Genomic DNA, 17,773 nt, shown 5'->3' with positions numbered 1-17,773 from the left:
ACGCATGTAATCCCAGAACTTTGGGAGGCTGAGGCAGATGGATCACTTGAGGCCAGGGGTTTGAGACCAGCCTGAATATCGTGAAACCCTGTCTCTACTAATAATACAAAAATTAGCTGGGTGTAGTGGCACACGCCTGTGGTCCCAGCTGCTTGGGGGAGGCTGAGGCAGGAGAATGACTTGAACTGAGGAGGCAGAGGCTGCAGTGAGCCGAGATCATGCTACTGCACTCCAGCCTGGGTAACAGAGTGAGAATCATCTCAAAAAAAGAAAGGAAATTGTTACACAGACGCAGAAGGAGCATATGGAATTTGGCCACGCTGGGTGTTACTGGTTTCAACTAAATTCTCCCAAATCCCAAGGCAAACTTCCAGCAAAGCAAGGTGACTGGCGAGCTGATGGGGTCATTTGTAAAGAAATGCTGATGCTCTCAAATGTGTACAAGCACCAAGATGCCAGCTGAGAGGGCTCCAGGAAGTTGGCTAGCAAGGGCACGCCTCTTTCCCTCTGTTCATCTGATTGTCAAGAACTCACCGGTGCGCAGAAGAGTTGGCGATCCTCACAAGCCCCAGGCTTGTAGCTTGTGACTGTTTGCTTTCAGAGAAAGGGAACTAAAAGATGCTTTTTCCCCCTCCTGCTTTTGCTTGGCCCTGGCTCCCTGCAAAATCTACCTGAGCAGGTCTGGAGTCACCAGGGACCACCTCCCAGTGCCTTCAAACACGGGGCTCTTGGGCAGCACTCTGGGACCTCAGCGCTTCGCCTGCCGGCAAATGACCACCACACCGCTGCCAACCCACTGCTGCCACCACGCTTCCAGCTACAGCCAGGTCTGCCAGACCCTGCTCCCTCTGCCAGATGCAGGCTCAGCTGTTGTCACCTTCACTGGGACAGCCAGCTCTGACGGGCAGTGCCAGCCTTTCTGCAAGATCACAACACTTGGGACCACTGCCACTTCCTGGGGATAGTAATAATAACAGCTAAGATCTACTGAGCCCTTGCTCTGTGCCAGACACCAGCTGAGGACTTCACTTGCTTAAGCTCACTTCAGCCTCGCAGCCATCCGGAGATAAATACTGTCATTCGTCAGTACAATACTTTACAGATGAGGAAACTGAGGCTCAGAGAGGTAAAGACACTTGCTCAAGGTCACACAGCTAGATGTGGTGGAGGGACTTTGAGTCTGGGCTCACCACACTCTGCATCCAACCCTGCAGCACCTTGGGTGCTGCCACGCCCTCGGGCTCAGCTGCTGCTCCCAGTTGCCACCCCCAAGTCTGCCCGGCTCCCCTGGAGTCCCTGGCTCTCCCACACCGTGTGGCTTGGCTGCCTCTGGTGGAGCAGTGTCACTTTGGCCATGTCAATGCCAGCCTCCCCGAGGACCGCGTCTTCTTGGCACTTCTATCTCTAATGGATCTGTGACAGGGGAAGACTTATGACTATGTGATGTCCTTGTCGTCTTCTCCCTCAGACCCCAGCCACTGCCATCCTCCATGACCAGGCCCTTGTGGAGAGAGAGAAAGAGACAGACACAAAGACAGAGAAAGACAAAGAGACAGGGACACAGACAGACAGGGAGAGAGAGGGAGATAAAAAGAGGCAGAGACAGAGAGACAGATGAACAGAGACAATACAAAAACAGAGTGACAGAGACAGGTGGATGGAGGTAAGAGATGGAGAGGCAGACACAGGCCCGCAGGGCAGCAGGGAGGCCCTGACGATGGCTGCAGTCCTGCAAGCAGGAGGTGGTGGTGGCTCGGAAGAGGGTTTTAGCTCAGAAGATGGGAACAGATGCAGGGTGTATTCTGAGGACAGAATTGACAGGGCTTGCTGACAGATGTGAAAGGAAAAGGGAAATGAAGGAGGCTGCTGGGTGTGGGGCCTGGACACTCACTGCAGGGAGGCGTCATTCACTGCGACTGATAAGCAGTGTCACAGCCAGTTTTATGTGTCAGCTTGGCTTGGCATGGTTCTCAGATATTCGGTCAAACACCTGCCTAGATGTTGCTGTGGTATTTTTGGGATGCGATGAACACTGAAGTCAGTAGCCCCTGAGTGAAGCCAAAGACCTGCCAGGCTATGGGTGGGTCTCATCTAATCAGGTGAAGGCCGTGGGAGAAAAAGACTGAGGTTCCCCGGGAAGAGGGGATTCTGCCTTCAGAAAGCCTTCAGGCTGGAGTGGCAACATCCACCCTTCCCTGGGGCTCGGCTGCCAGCCTGCCCTGCAGATTTTAGACTTGCCAGCCTCCACAACTGCATGAGTCAGTTCCTTAAAATAACCTCCTGTCTATATAGAGAGAGACTATGTATATATATAGCCTGCTCACGGATGACACACACATCCAGGACTCTCCTTTGAGATCCACAGTTGCAGATTCTGCCGACTTGAGTGTCTTCTTCGATGTTGGGAAGAAATTCAACTCAAAGTCATTCAAACCTGGTCCTCTCCTGATGCTTCCTCCTTTAAAAAGTGGCACGACTCACCATCCCATGGCATGAGCCAGACACTGGGAATCTTCCTGGACGAGTCCTTCCTGCTTACTCCTTGTGGTGGGCAGACCCATGGTCCCCAAAGGTGTCCACGCCCCAATCCCCAGAATCTGGGAATGTTACCAACATGGCAAAAGGGGCCCTGCGGATGTGATGAAGGACCTTGAGAAGGGAGATGGTCCTAGATGATCTGAGTGGCCCCTGTGTCATCATAAGGGTCCTCCTAAGAGGGAGGCAGGTGGCTTAGAGTCAGAGGAGGAGACGTGGCCACAGAAGCAGAAGTCAGAGTGTTGGGGCCAAGGGACAAAGGAACACGGATGCCTCTGGAAGCTGGAAAAGGCAAGGAAGGAGATGCTCTCTGAAAGCGGCTGGAGGGTGCACAGTCCCAACACCTTGGACCTACTCCAAACTTCTGACCCCCAGAACTACTAGAGAATACATTTACTTTAAGCCTCCAAAATGTGTGGTGATTTGGGACAGTGACGATAGGAAACTAACATGCACTCCAAATCCAATCCAGCAAGTTCTATGGATTGTTCCTCCCAAATCTCCTTCCTGTAGATATGCCTCTGCCCATCTCTGCCACCGCCTGCCCCCAGGGCTGGCCTCCTCACTTCTCAGCTACTGTGCGGCCCTTTCCTTGGTTCATTATCTCTGTGCCTTCCCTCCCACCTCCAAAAAGTGGAGACCCCTCTCCACTGGGCAGCACTGCCCCCACCTAACTGGAACCACTTGGGGGGAGTTGGGGGCTCCCACTGTCCTTGGATGAGACTGAAACCCTAACCAAGGCCCTGAAGGGCCATCCCTTCCCTGCTTCTCCAAGCTCCCTTCCCCGACACTCCGCCTCCTTCCCTGCCCTGTCTCAAGGTCCTTCCTTCCGTCTGTCAAGCAAGCCCCTCCAACCCAGGCCTCTGCGTGTGCTGCTCCCCGTCAAGCGCCTCCCCTTCCTCTCCACCTCATTAGCACCTCTGACCCTTCACTGCTGCCTTCCCTTTGTCAAGGAGGCTTGCTCTGCTCTGTACGAGGGTCAAATCCTGTGGGGATCCCACGATGCATATGTCCTTCAAAACATCACCTTGTACATAAATATATACAATTTTTATCAATCAAAATAAATAAGAGGAAAAATAGGGACTGAATATAGCTTTTAGCACAGCCACGGAGCTAAAATATTTAAAAAGCCAGAGTTGCCCATCAGCATATCACACCCGCAGTGGGCCCCCCGCCATCCCTGTGACAACATGACAAAAGGGGCCCTGCAGATGAGAGTGGTCTCCACCCTGCAGAGCGTGACCTCCACGCAGGCAAGGCTGTGTTTGTTCTCGTCCGTGCCGCCCTTGAAGGGTGCTTGGTGCATGGCAGATGGGTGACCATGTGTGGGGTAAATCAGTAAATCCAGATGAGCTCCGAGCATGAGCAGCTCCTCTCCAACCCACGTTCATCTGCGCAGCCATGGGGAAGGTGGTCCTCTAGCTTCCTCTCAGGGCTGCCACCTCTTCCCCCTCTGAATTATTCCAAAACAACTTGGAAAATTCCAGAAAATGGGTTCCCTGGAGTCTTGCAGGTGGTCTCATGGGTCCACCACTATCTCCGCTCCATTGTCACTGGGGGAGCGCCGCTGACAAGAGGTTCCACCTTGCACAGCTCAGTGACCTAAAGTTGATCTAGTGTCCTCTGTGGTTCCAAGGAGGGCGGGCCACATGGCCCGGGGGCCCTGGCTTGGTGCCCTGGCCCATGCAGCCATTCCCTAAGGCCCAGATACCCAGGACCTGATTCATTCTTGTGAACCTGCAATGTTCTTCCCTTCTGTCCCCCCTGGGAGCATGTCCTCAGGGGCATGCAGCTTCTCTCTTTACTGCAGGAACAAGAAAGGCCTCTCTACGTCCACATCCCAGCCCAAGAGGGGTCTCCACCCAGCCCACACTGTCCTGCACCACCCCTTTCTGGAATACTAGCGCCCCTTGCCAGCCTCCCTGAGGGCAGAGCTGCCAGACTTAGCCAATAAAAACAGGACAGCCAGTTAAATGCATATTTCAGATTCACAAGAAATATTTTTCAATGTATCTAAAATTCAAATTTAACTAGGCAGTCTGCATTTTATCTGGCAACCCCAGCTAAGGGTGACTCCTCGGGCCCAGGGATGCGGGGCCCTCCCACTGCCTGCAGGGCCTAGCAGTGCCGCACCCAGCTAAGGACAACCACAGAGCCTGGCCTCCAGCTGTCCTGAAGAGGAAGAAAGGAAAAACCACACATTGACTCTTCAGCCATGCATCCTGTTACTTACATCTATGTAGTCAGGAGATAAAAGCAGGTTAAACTTCACTAGCAGGCCTCCGAGTCTCTCCCAGGTTCTGTGACGGTTGAGAACCACATTGCAATGTGTGTGGTTATCGGCGTGGGACACAGTGGGTACAGCCAAAGATGGTATGAAGAAGAAAGGGCCATTGCTAGATTGCTCTCTATAAGACACGGCAGGAATTGGGGGATTTAGGGTAAGCAGGCAGGTTAGGAAGGAGAGAGGAGATCAGGAATGGGGAAGGAAGCCAAGTATGGTGGCTCACGCCTGTAATCCCAGCACTTTGGGAGGCCAGGGCAGGAGACTGGCTGGAGGCCGAGAGTTCGAAATCAGACTGAGCAAAAAAGTGAGACCTCCCCTGCTACCTCCATCTCTACAAAAAGTTTAAAAATTAGCTGGGTGTGGTGGCACATGCCTATAGTCCCAGCTACTTGGGAGGCTGAGGCGGGAGGATTGCTTGAACCCAGAGGCTGAGGCTGCAGTGAGCTATGACAGCACCACTGCACTCCAACCTGGGTGACAGGGCAAGATCCTGTCACCACCGTCCCCAAAAAAGATAAAGAGAGGCCCAACAGCATCATGGGAGGTTAAGGCCTGCTGTGAGGGCAGCTGTGGGACTCCTCAGGGACAGGAATGGCCAGAGACTGCAAGAACAGAAGTTCTATCATTCAACATGCAGTTCCTACATGCAGACGGAACCCTCCTGTTGCTATAAACCATCAGTAAAGGACACCCCCCGATACACAGCCTGAGTCCACAGTGTCTATGGAGTAACACACAGGGCGGCAGAGTCATGAGAGTCAAGATGCAAAGCCGAGTCAGAACTCAGAAACAGCGGGATGTATGGACCAGCGGTGACTCTAAGAAATGGAAACACCTTGTCCCCTCCTCCAAAATAAGGTGTACCAATCCCTGAGGAATTGAGGTTTGTACTTATTTTACTTAAATTATAAAAACACAAACATACTTTATTTTTGGTATTTTCAACTGGCAATAGTATAACTCATTCGATTATTAGTATATATTGGCCAGGCGTGGTGGCTCACATCTATAATCCCAGCCGAGGAATTTGGGAGGCCGAGGTGGGTGGATCACCTGAGGTCAGGAATTTGCGACCAGTCTGGCCAACATGGTGAAACCCCGTCTCTACTAAAAACACAAAAATTAGCTGGGCGTGGTGGCGCACACCTGTAATCCCAGCTACGCAGGAGGCTGAAGCAGGAGAATGGCTTGAACCTGGGAGGCGGAGGTTGCAGCGAGCCAAGATAACGCCATTGCACTCCAGCCTGGGCAACAAGAGCAAAGCTCCGTCTCAAAAAAAAAAAAATTAGTACGTATCACCAAAAAAGGATAATGTGTTGAGTGTCCTTATTAAAAAGAGGAATTAACATTCAGTCAAAAAAATTTATCCTGTGTTGTTTACAAAACACATAGCTAAGACAAAATACAATCGAGTTTAAAGGGAAAGGATCAAACATTTCAGAATAAATGGGGGAAATCTGGGGAAAAAAAGTAATAAAGGGCATGGCTGTGCAAATATTAAAGAATAAAAGCCCAGTAACTGGCCAGGCGCGGTGCCTCACACCTGTAATCCCAGCACTTTGGGACACTGAGGCGGACAGATCACGAGGTCAGATCAAGACCATCCTGGCTAACATGGTGAAACCTTGTCTCTATTAAAAACACAAAAAATTAGCCGGGCGTTGGGGCGGGCGCCTGTACTCCCAGCTACTCGGGAGGCTGAGGCAGGAGAATGGTTTGAACTCAGGAGGCACCACTGCACTCCAGTCTGGGCAACAGAGCAAGACTCTGTCTCAAAAAAAAAAAAAAAAAAAAAAAAAAAAAAAAACCCCCAGTAATTAAAAGTTGGGATTTGGCTGGAACAGAAATAGATCCAAATAAGAATTTGACTTGTAATATAGTTGGCATTTCAAATCCGTGGAGAAAAGATTTAGTAAGTAGTCATAGAATAACTAACCAGCCAGGGAAATTTTAAAAATTTGAGTCTACCATATTCCTTACAGAAAAAAATAAAAAGATTGTGGATGGATCAAAGATGTAAATGTAAAAAACAAAAGCCTAAAAGTAGTAGAAGAAAATACAGGGGAACTTCCATCAACAGAGGCCTAGTGATACATACTGAGGCCTTCCATATGGCGGGAAGTAATGGAGCCATCAAAAAAAAAATGCAAGCACTGGTAGCTAACAGTCACTAGGAGCACTGCTCACTGAAAATTGACATTGCTACAGCACAAGCACAGAATGCAATCATGTTCTCGGGAAACAGCAGGATGTGTGTGCACACCTCCATTTGTGTATACAGGAACTATCTCAGGAAAGCCACACTGGAAAGTGGCTGCTCTGGGGCAGGGGATCTGGAAATCAAGAATGAGAGTCAGGCTAGACTATTCTCTGAATTGTCTGATGTGCGCATACTTTTCCCCAAATACAAAATTACTAAAAGATAATTTTAAGAGATAAACATATCTTAGTCAAACCCAACAAAATTAGGAGTGAAGGTAGGTATATCAATGTAGAACTCAAGCAAACACCATTGAACAGGATGAACCTGGTATTTTACACACATAAAAAGCCCAACTGAGGCCGGGTGTGGTGGCTCACGCCTGTAATCCCAGCACTCTGGGAGGCCGAGGGGGGTGGATCACAAGGTCAGGAGATCGAGACCATCCTGGCTAACATGGTGAAACCCCATCTCTACTAAAAATACAAAAAATTAGCCAGGCGCGGTGGCGGGTGCCTGTAGTCCCAGCTACTCAGGAGGCTGAGGCTGGAGAATGGCGTGAACCCTGGAGACGGAGGTTGCAGTGAGCCGAGATAGCACCACTACCGTCTGGCCTGGGCAAAAGAGCGAGACTCCATCTCAAAAAAAAAAAAAAAAAAAAAAAAAACCTAACTGAAACAAAATCATGGATATTTATAAAGTGAACTGCACAGAATTAGAAATACAGAGAAAATTAAACCAGAAGCATAGTGGAAGAGAGTTCCCTTAAACGCTTTCAAGATCAAGTAAGAAAATAGTAAATGCAATACAAAGAATCTGAATAATACAATGAAGTTTAATGGTATCCATCTATTTACAACCTTTAATGCATAAAAAGTCTCATTTATTTGTCTAAATGGAATCAAATCCCGCCCAAGTCTGCTCTCACAGAATGTGCTTCCTGGGTGGTAACAAGACTGTCTAGGAGAGAGGCCTCTGCCCTGCCCTGTGCTGGTGGTGCTCAGCAGCCCGTGTGGAAGCCAGTGTCATCTACACAGATGCTAGCGGCCAGCCAGGAGGGCCCTCCTTCCTCCAGATCAGGCTTGCATGTGGCTATTTGTTCCCAGGGGCACAGCACTGAGTCCTCAGCAGCCAGGACCCATCCTGGCTCTCTCACTTCTGAAGCATCTCATATAAGGGGCTCAGTCCCCAGCATTCATGGAGCCTACCTCTCTTCCCAATCTCAGTAAATCCTTCTTTGCACTTTGTCTAGAAGCACCAGCCTCCCTCCTTTCCTTCTCTGGAAACTTCCAGCCAGTTGGTACAAGTGACTTAGACCAGAGATGGGGAAATTTTTTTGGTAAAAAGCCAGAGAAAGAATATTTTAGGCTCTGGGGGCCATTCAATCTCTGTTGCAACTCTGCAATTCTGCTGTTGCAGCATCAAAGCAGCCACAGACAAGCCAAGAATGGATCAACATGGTTTTGTTCCCATAAAACTGTATTTATGGACACAATGTGAATTTCATTAAGTTTTCGTATTCAGAAAATATCAATGTGTTAAAAACCATTTAGAAACATACACATTTTTAGCTTGGAGGCTATACAAAAACAGGAGATGAGCTAGATTTGGCCCAGGGCCATAGTTTGCTGACCCGGAACTAGATCACTGAAAATAAAGCCTATTGGGATTAATTCATGGGATTCTAGCAACTAAAAAAAAAAGTTTCAGAAAAAAGATAATAAGCTAAATTAAGGAAGGGAAGAGGATATGATTAGTGATAATAAAAGAAAGTAATAAATATGACAGGAAAATACCCCAGCAGAAGTGATCACCAAAGCCAATGTCTGGTTCTTCGGGGGAGTGGAAGTAGAGAGGGTGGCAAGTCCAATAAAGAAAAAAATGGAAAATATAAACATACGATGGGAGATGTAAGATTTTATCAAAATGCCAATGAGATTTAAGAATTTAGAGTTATACACATCTCTAAAATATATTTGAAGGTCCCCAAAAAAGGGAGGTTTTTTCCTAGAAAACTATAAATTATCAAAAATAAGGGGGAAAGATCTAAATTGACCTATTAGTTTTGAAAAGAGTAAAAACACTGTCAAAGCTTCTAAGCTCCACCCTCAAGGATCTGAGCCATTTTGGATGAGTTCTATCACTTTCAAGGATCAGATGGTTGATTTAAACAATATGAGATGTTACCTTAATTTATGCTCCAGGCAAGTGAAGTGGGACACAGATTTTATTACTTTTTCTTGTATGAATACTGCCCATACAGTCCAGGGGCACAGTTATTAACCTGTGCTATTTAATTTATTCCAGAATAAGGAGGATAGAAAGCTTTTAAATCCCTGATTAAATCAATTCATAACTAAAGACTCTCTCTTAAGGTTACACACATGCAAATTTTCAAAAATCCACCAAAGGTGGAAGGATGTAATACTTTATGACCATAAAAGATGTTATCCTTATATTTCAAAATGACTCAGTACATTAACAAATGAAAGGAACAGGAGCATATGATGATCTTGGTGAAGGCCCAAAAGTCATTTGGTAAAATTTAAAAATCCTGCAGTATTTTTTCCAGCTTGTTTGACTGCTTAGTTTCATATTCCTTATCTCATAAATGAATTGAAGGCTATGAAAGTTTTTCATTTCGGCCCCATCCACAAGACGTGCCCCACAGTGCCATCTCTGCCACTCATCTCTACTACACTTGATTTCCTCTTTATTTGTAACTTGGGATGAAATGGACAGGACTTTTGGCTCTTTCTCAGTGACTTCAATTTTTTATTACATTATAGTCAGAGAATATGACCTGTGAGATTTCTACATTTTGGAATCTGGTGAGATTTCCTTTCTGGCACAAAGCATGGCTAATTTCTATGACCATTCCAAGAGGATCTGCTGCACAAAGTTCACACACAGTGGACACATCAAGTTTGGTAACAGTGTTAGTTAAATAGCCAGATCCTTCTTTGTCTAGTTGATTTTCAAATTCTGATGGGTGAGGGTTAACATATCTTGCTGTGACTGGGAATTGCTTAATTTCTTACCATGTTCTATCTTTCAAAGCTATGTTGTGAGCTAATGAAAGTATATAACTATCTTCTTGACAAATTATTCCTTTCATAAACGGACTGACAATACTACCACCAGTTGCTTTCTTTTAGCATTTCCTGATCTTTTTCAACCCCTTCACTGTCAGCCTTTTGGGTCACCCCTTTATTTTAGGTGGTCTCCCATAACCATCATATACACGTTTGTGACGTCATTTACAAATCAACTTGAAAATGTCCCTAAGTAGCTGAATTTAACCAGTTCACATTTACTATGATTAACAATATGCTTCAACTTACTCCTGCCATCTTATCCTTTCCTGTTTTTTTAATTTCTTCTCCTAATGTTTACTGGATCAAGTGAGGCAAGCAAAACACAGAGGATTCAGTTCTTTCCAGACACTGCCTGTTTCAACTATAACAATGTGGCAACAACAGCTCCAGGAAGTAGGGCTTGCTGCTCTACCAGACTCTCCCGTCATCCTCCACAGACTGTAGAAACAGGACTTACCCTTGAGACTAAGTCCCTGTGGGTCTTGACCTTATCTCAGAAAGGGGAGCGGGGGGCACACAAGGATGGAAGAGTATCAGGGGTAAAAAAAAAAAAAAAAAAAAAAGACATTTTGGGGACAGACAGGATGAAGACTAAAGAGGACTGACTTAAACAGTCAGAGATCCCAGGCAAGTGAGGTAGGACATAAAAATTAGACATGAGAGAACATGGCATTGAGCAATATGAATAGGTCTATTTGAGAACCTAAATACAACCCACACCAGTACTGGGGCCCTCACCCATTTTACAGCAAGAACTGCCTCCTCTGTAACCAAGACAGATTCAGTTGAGATCTAGTGTTTTCCATTCAGGTAGCCAATTCCGTCCACGTCCAGCCAGTCCCCTCTGAATACTCAATTGTCCTCACCTATATTCTTTTAATACACTGTTCGCAGAACTGTTGTCTTAAGCGTATGACATCGAAACTGCCACACAGCCTACCTCCTGGGCCCAGCATAACAACACATGCACATGTATCCTTCCATTTTATGCCAACGTCCTTTTCCCTCTTTCCTCACAACACAGCGTTGTGTTTTTTCCTCCGTTTATTATACCCATCATTTCCTATCCATTCCACTAACTGGAACTCTTAGGCACCCCTTTTGCCTCCCAAGATCCCCAAACAACGAGTAACCATATGCCAGCCAGTGTTCTTTATCTCTTAGAGTCACAAACATAAGGAAAGCCCCCTTTCCTAGAAAAATGCATAGACCTACAGGTACACAAAATTCTGCACATAACTTAAAAAGGTTCTAGACCTCCCCAAAAGCCGTCTGCAGGTCTTAGGTTTTAAAATTCTGTAAATACAACACCCCCACCATAATTCATGATGCAGAGAAGACCTGGATCAGGGCCAGCAAAGAATTAAGAGGGGGAGGGAAAGTCGGTCTCTCAGCGAAGCCATATTTAGACACAGTATTTAGGAAGGTACAGAGTCTATAAAATGCATACATCCGCCTAAAAATACACAAAATCTGTATGTGCTACTTTACTCTAGAAATGCAGTTTATTTACATATGCCTAAATCTGAGCAATAAAATTGCTTTGGTATAAAGTGTCATTTTCCACCGATATTTATGACAAGTTCTTACTGGCATAAACACACACACAGCCTTGGGATCTCTGGATTTGTTCATGTGTTTTGTAATATGTTAAAATGAGAATGATAAAAAAAATTCTTAAGTTTCAACTTACTTATGATTATAAAGTTATTCTACTTCATGTACATTGAGAGTGGAAATAAAGATATCCCAGGCCTCCCTGCCCCTTAGGGGTTTGGGTAAACTTGACTCAAAACTCCATTAATTCCATGGCCTGTAGCAGCTTTTAGCTACCCTGAAGATTTCTGCATATTCTGCATATTCCTTGGAGCTTGTTCTCAGGGGCACCCTCTTCTGGCTCCTATATTTATGTGTGGTACTTACGTGTTGCCCCATTTCACCCTGGATACAGCACTCAGCCCTTCCACCAGTTTCCATAAGAAATCCACCATGCCAAACACCCCTAACTTTAGGGAAAGACTTTGTGGTCACGAAGTTTTCCTACACAAGAGCTCAGAACTTCAGACCATCCTACTCCACTGGTTCCCTGGTCCTCTCTCCCACTCCAAGTCTACCCTTTGTTTTCTTACCTCCAACTACCCCAGGAGATTCAAGTTCTCTCTCTTACCATGTGGAGCAATTCAGCCCTCTCCAGGTCCTACCCCAATTTTAGATGTCCAAACCCACCACAGAGCTCAGCAAAACAAAAAGGAATCCAAATAACATGACCTTTCTTCCTTAATAGGCAACTGGGAATAGGAATTCGTTATAGCACTAAATGCTAGGCACTTTACGTTTATTTACTTCTCCCAACATTTCCATGAATTAGATATTTTCAAAACCATTTTAAAGATGAGAAACTTGAGGTTTAGAAAAATTAAGAAAATGAATATGGTTAGAGGAAGTGCTCTATCATCTTCATTTTTCCTCTCTTCCTCTCTAATCCATAGATCTTAACTCAGCTTTGCTATTTATATATGGCTCTTGCCCTGTAGTAGTATCAACCTTTCTCATCTTTTCCTAGATTTTACCACTGAGTATATTTTCCATCTGCTTCTGATATTTGCTTTCCATTCACCTAGTTTTTCAAATTTCTGAGAATATCAGTACATTACAAAGACTGAGAAATAATTCAAAAATTTTAAGAACAGAGCCAAGAGCTAGAAGGTCCCTTGGAAGGAATCATGTCCATGCTCACACAACACAAAGTAATCCCTCTTCAATTTCTGAGATGGCCTGACGAGCTGTGCCCACATTCTCACGCAGTAGACTATCTCAATGTTGGACTCTGATGCAAAGAGTTCTTCCTATCTGCAAGAGGCAATCTGCCGTTTATTCATGCTTCCAAGTTAGAAACCATGCAGTCATTCTGGACTTATCTTGGCTCACACTCTAAATCCTAGCAGATTCACCAAGAGTGAATCCCATCACAGATGACCTACCCTTGCCCCCACCCCCCACCCCCATCAGAAGGGCTAGTTTGGGTTGCTCCCATCCCAATGGTGGAATTGCAATGCAGACTTGTCTCTCAAAGCTGGTAGACGCCACAGCCAGTCAGACTGTTGACTGCGGCACAGAACGTGGGCCCCCTCTGCTTCAGCTGACAGCACTTCACGCCTTCCCAGGCATGGGCTGCAGTCAGCAGGGGCCAGGGCAGGGCTTGGAGGAACTGCCAAGGGGCACCAGGAAGATCACAGAAAGCACCAAAATGGATCACCCAAGGAAAAGGAATTAGCTGCCAACATTTTAAGATTAAACTGTGTGTGAAAATCGAGGTTGGTGTTTTCTTAGAAGAGCTGTGGGCCTGTATTCGCCGTGAACACAGAGCCACAGCCGAGCTGAGGCAGTCCTCTCAGTGGACTGTGCTCTCTCCAGATGGATTATTCCTGACTTGAGTCATTTATTACCTGTGTGGCTGTGACCTCAGACCAAGGTGTCCTCACACCTTAGTGTGCCCGAGAAAGGCCCATTCGAGGCTTGTTGTCCAGATGTGAGTATCAACAGCACCCCCTCCCTTCACTCTCAAGTGCTCAGTTTGGACAATAAATTACATGGTCACCCTGGGCTTAATGTGCAAGCCAATTCTCCACCACACACCCATACCCATACTCCCACACACGACCACTGAATTCACACAACTACATGTCAAGCACAGAACCCTGTTATAAAGCGATTTTATTAAATTGATTTGGACATACTGTAGGTCAAATAATATTTTCTGAAGATAACAATTATGGACTTTAAAGCTCGACATAAAATTAGTAGCTTCAAAAGGGTTAGTCATATTCCCCAGCAACAGCATGATAAAATAATTCAACTATGTAGAAATATAGAACTCTAGGACTAGCTGGAAACTCGGAAATCATTTAGCCTAATGTTCTCATTTTGAGAGAAAACTAGACTCAAAGATTAAGCGATTTGCCCAAGCTCACATACCTAATAGTAATAAAGCTAGAAATCAAACCAATTTTTCCTAAAACTAAAATTCTATCAATGATATTTCAACTGGCTATCAACTAAAAGTCTAGGCTTTTCTCTAATGCTCCACGCTATTGTGACATGAAAGAGTGATAAGACACTACAGTAAATCGTACTTGTGGAATTCAGGCCTGGAAGGGGCTTTGGCAAATAACTAAGCCAGCCCTCTCTTTGTAAAAAGGAGGAAAAGTATCTGAAGTGACTTACCAAAGGCTTGTTAGCAGAGATGTCTGGATTAAAATCCAGATATTGACAAATTCACCCCCAAATCCCATCTCTAGTTTCATGGCCCACCCACTAAATCATGTGCTCCTTTTAAATCTCCTTTATGCGCTGAGGTTTTAGTTATACAAAAACCCCTTCCAGTCAAACAGAAAAAATTAATTCAAATATGGAAAGAAAAATCAAACTTTCAGTATTTTCGTGACTATCTTGAGTAGTTCATTTTCCAACCTCTTAGACAGCTGACAGACACCACTAACCTGATCACCTATTTCAGAGCTTCAAAGATCCTTAATTTCCCCAAAGACTTCCTGAGCAAAAGGACTACATGTGGGAAATCAATGAAAACAGGAATGAGAAGAGAAAGTTAAAAATTGGTTGCTTTTGTTCCTGTCATTGGGGACTTTTGGTCTTCTAAACATTCCTTGAGTTCCTCCACATGAGTTTTTAATATCAATCTAGCAAAAATTAAAACAAACAAAAAAAGGCCTCTGAAAGTCAGGATACTGACCACCTCGGCATCTCTCCCCTTCCCCACTGCTTGCGAATGCCAGTGCTGGCCTGTTCCTTAAACGCACCAGCTCATCCCCCAGAGCAGCCTGTGTGCTCTGCCAGCGACTGCTACTTCTCCTCCGGCCTCAGCTCAACATCCCACCGCGGAAAGGCCTCCCTGACCACTAGCTAATGTCACCCCACCCCCACCCCACCCCACCACTAAAATCATCACCCTAGTTTATTTTCTTCATAGCACTTAATCACTATCTCAAACTACATTATTTATTTGTTTACTTATCATCTGTCTCCTCCACCAGAAGTAAACTCCACAAGAGTAGGGACCTTGTCTGTCTCATCAGTGGTATTCCCAGCACCTAGCACAGTGCCTGGCATATAGGAGGTGTTCAATACATATTTGTTGAATGAAGAAAAGAATGATGGATTAATAAAGACGTTCATGCCTAACAAAGAACTGATACACAGTAATCAATGAAGGGGTATCAAGAACTCCTATGCATTATTGCCCAAGATTACAGAAATAGAGATTGAAACATTAGTGACTCCTCCTACCATCCACTTCTCATAAGGTCTCCCTAGCTAGGAAGGAGCTCCATCTGTTACCAAAGGAGCCCAGAGGGCAATTCTGGATGAAGAAAAGCTCTCACTTTGCTTGCTTCTTCCTCCCTGCTATTTACATTCAGCTATTTCCAAAAAAATTCAAGTGAAAAATATGTGATGCAGCCACTACAAAATAAGTCTAACAGAGACAGTGATGAGCAGAATCCACACAAATAAAAAAGGTTCAAGGACATATATGTCTGCCAATGACTTTTCTGATAGGCTAAGTGAATGGGAATTATGAGTCACCTAAAATCTAAAATGAAAGTTAATGCCATCTAGGAAGGGATGGATATTTATGGGGATTTTGAGGACATATATTCAGAAATAATAGGATATATGGAAAGATATGTAGGGGCTAAATCAAGTGTTAACCTCAGAAATACCAGAACGTGATCTTAGTGGGAGCTGTCTGTTTTCCAATGCATTGCCAGTATGCTCGAATAAAGAGGAAGGAAGGGCATGAGCTCCTCAAGGGGGAGTATCTGGGATAGCTTTTAAGCAAAGTATAGATAGAAGGTGACTCAGGAGGCCGGGCAATGATTGTGGCTTTTTGTGTAGTCTTTCAACTATGGAGGCATCGTGCTGGAATCCCAGGAAGCGACGTCTGTGACTGGGACCTGAGAGCCATCCTGCGTGGATGCTCAGAGGTCCACATTCAAAGTCAACCTGTGGAACACACTTGGCATGAACCAACAAATCAATCTCACATATGCCTCCTCAGAAACAATGTTCTGCTAGGGATTGCGTAAATATTTCTTGGGTCAATGTAGGTATATACAGGGTTTCCTTCCTAGTGGCACTTATGGGTTTTAAGATTTTAAACTCTTAGCAAAACGTTTTATATAACTGATATTTTGAGATGGTTTCTCTCCTTTGTGTGGACTCTCTGGTGGATGCAGAGGCTCGTACTCTGACTGAAGGCCTTTCCGCACTCATCACATTTGAAAGGTTTCTCTCCTGTGTGGACTCTCTGGTGGATGCACAGGCTCGAACTCTGACTGAAGGCCTTCCCACATCCACAACATCTATAGGGTTTCTCTCCAGTGTGGACTCTCTGGTGGATGCAGAGGCTCGAACTCTGACTGAACGCCTTCCCACACTCATAACATTTATAGGGTTTCTCTCCTGTGTGGACTCTTTGATGCATGCAGAGGCTGGAGGTGTGCCTGAAGGCCTTCCCACACTCTTCACATTTAAAGGGCTTCTCTCCGGTGTGGACTCTCTGATGCATGCAAAGGTTTGAACTATTACTAAAGCCCCTTCCACACTCACTACAGACATACGGTTTCTCACCTGTATGAACTCTCATATGAATTTGAAGATGGGAGCTCCAATTGAAGGCTTTGCCACACTCGTAACATTTATAGGGCTTCTCCACTGTGTGGATTTTCTTATGTCTATTAAGTTTTGTTGTAGTGCTAAAATCCTTACCACAATCATCACATTTATAGACCTTCTCTCCTGTATGGTCTCTCCAATGAATATGAAGTTCTGATATATGAAAGAAACCCTTATCACACTTGTCACATTTATGGGGCTTCTCAGCTGTGTGAATTTTCTGATGCATAAAAAGATCTGCTCTCTCAGAGAAAAATTCCCTACACATGGGGCACTTGTAGATCATTTTTCCTATTTGGTATCGTGATTTCAAGGAGAAAATTTCCTTATGATTACTACAGTTACAAGACTGTTATTTCATAGAGTCTCTTATTTGGCCATTTTGGCAGTCTATCTCAGGCTTGCTCTATTAGGTAAGTTTAAGGTCAGCCTAAGCTTTTCCCTGCCTGTCTTTCTACGGAAGGTTTCTTCCTGCATAGTGTTCCTCACTCAGTATTATTATCGATTATAAAGTGACATTGACTTCCACGTGAATTCTGTAACTCATTAACACAGAACTTTGTTTTAGATCCTGAGTTGTCAACATTCCAAGGGGCTCTCAAAGTGCAAACCTTTGCGTTTTTGAGCCCCTGGAATCTTCCTCTTGTAGAGTAATCTTGTATGTCTCACTTCTAGAAAAAGGACTGTACAGTATATCCCCTGTATCGAAGGATGAGATACTGCTGGCTGGTCTCGAGCCCCTGCAGTTGCCCCTTGAAGAGTCAGTTTGGCATTCTGCCTCCTGCACATCAGACAGGAAAGCCTTTCCAGCAAGCAGGCTCCTCGGGGTCCAGGTATGGCAAGCCCTGCTTTGGGGAATTCCCTACATGGGTATCATGCCGTCTCCTGTAATAGAAACATAAATAAATAAATTGAAAATGCTTTTATCTGGAAAACTGCTATTGATTCCAAAATTAA

The 17,773-nt window shown here is 45.2% G+C and overlaps 2 protein-coding genes across 4 annotated transcripts in view; both read right to left on the bottom strand.

The window, feature by feature from the left end:
* ZNF664-RFLNA (ZNF664-RFLNA readthrough) overlaps window positions 1–17,773 on the bottom strand; it is a 342,810-nt gene that overhangs the window by 286,778 nt on the left and 38,259 nt on the right. The gene's annotated exons all lie outside the window — the stretch shown is intronic.
* Window positions 13,820–17,773, bottom strand: part of ZNF664 (zinc finger protein 664) — a 42,213-nt gene continuing 38,259 nt past the window's right edge. For both annotated transcript variants that reach the window (NM_152437.3, NM_001204298.2), the window contains exon 5: window positions 13,820–17,701. In NM_152437.3, the coding sequence (NP_689650.1) occupies window positions 16,317–17,102 (786 nt within the window). In that variant the 5' untranslated portion in view covers window positions 17,103–17,701 and the 3' untranslated portion in view covers window positions 13,820–16,316. The remainder of the gene's footprint in view (window positions 17,702–17,773) is intronic.

Source organism: Homo sapiens, chromosome 12 (assembly GCF_000001405.40).
Source record: "Homo sapiens chromosome 12, GRCh38.p14 Primary Assembly".
NCBI lineage: Eukaryota > Metazoa > Chordata > Mammalia > Primates > Hominidae > Homo > Homo sapiens.
The sequence above is the reverse complement of the archived record's forward strand: the minus strand, read 5'-3'. Positions and strand labels throughout refer to the sequence as shown.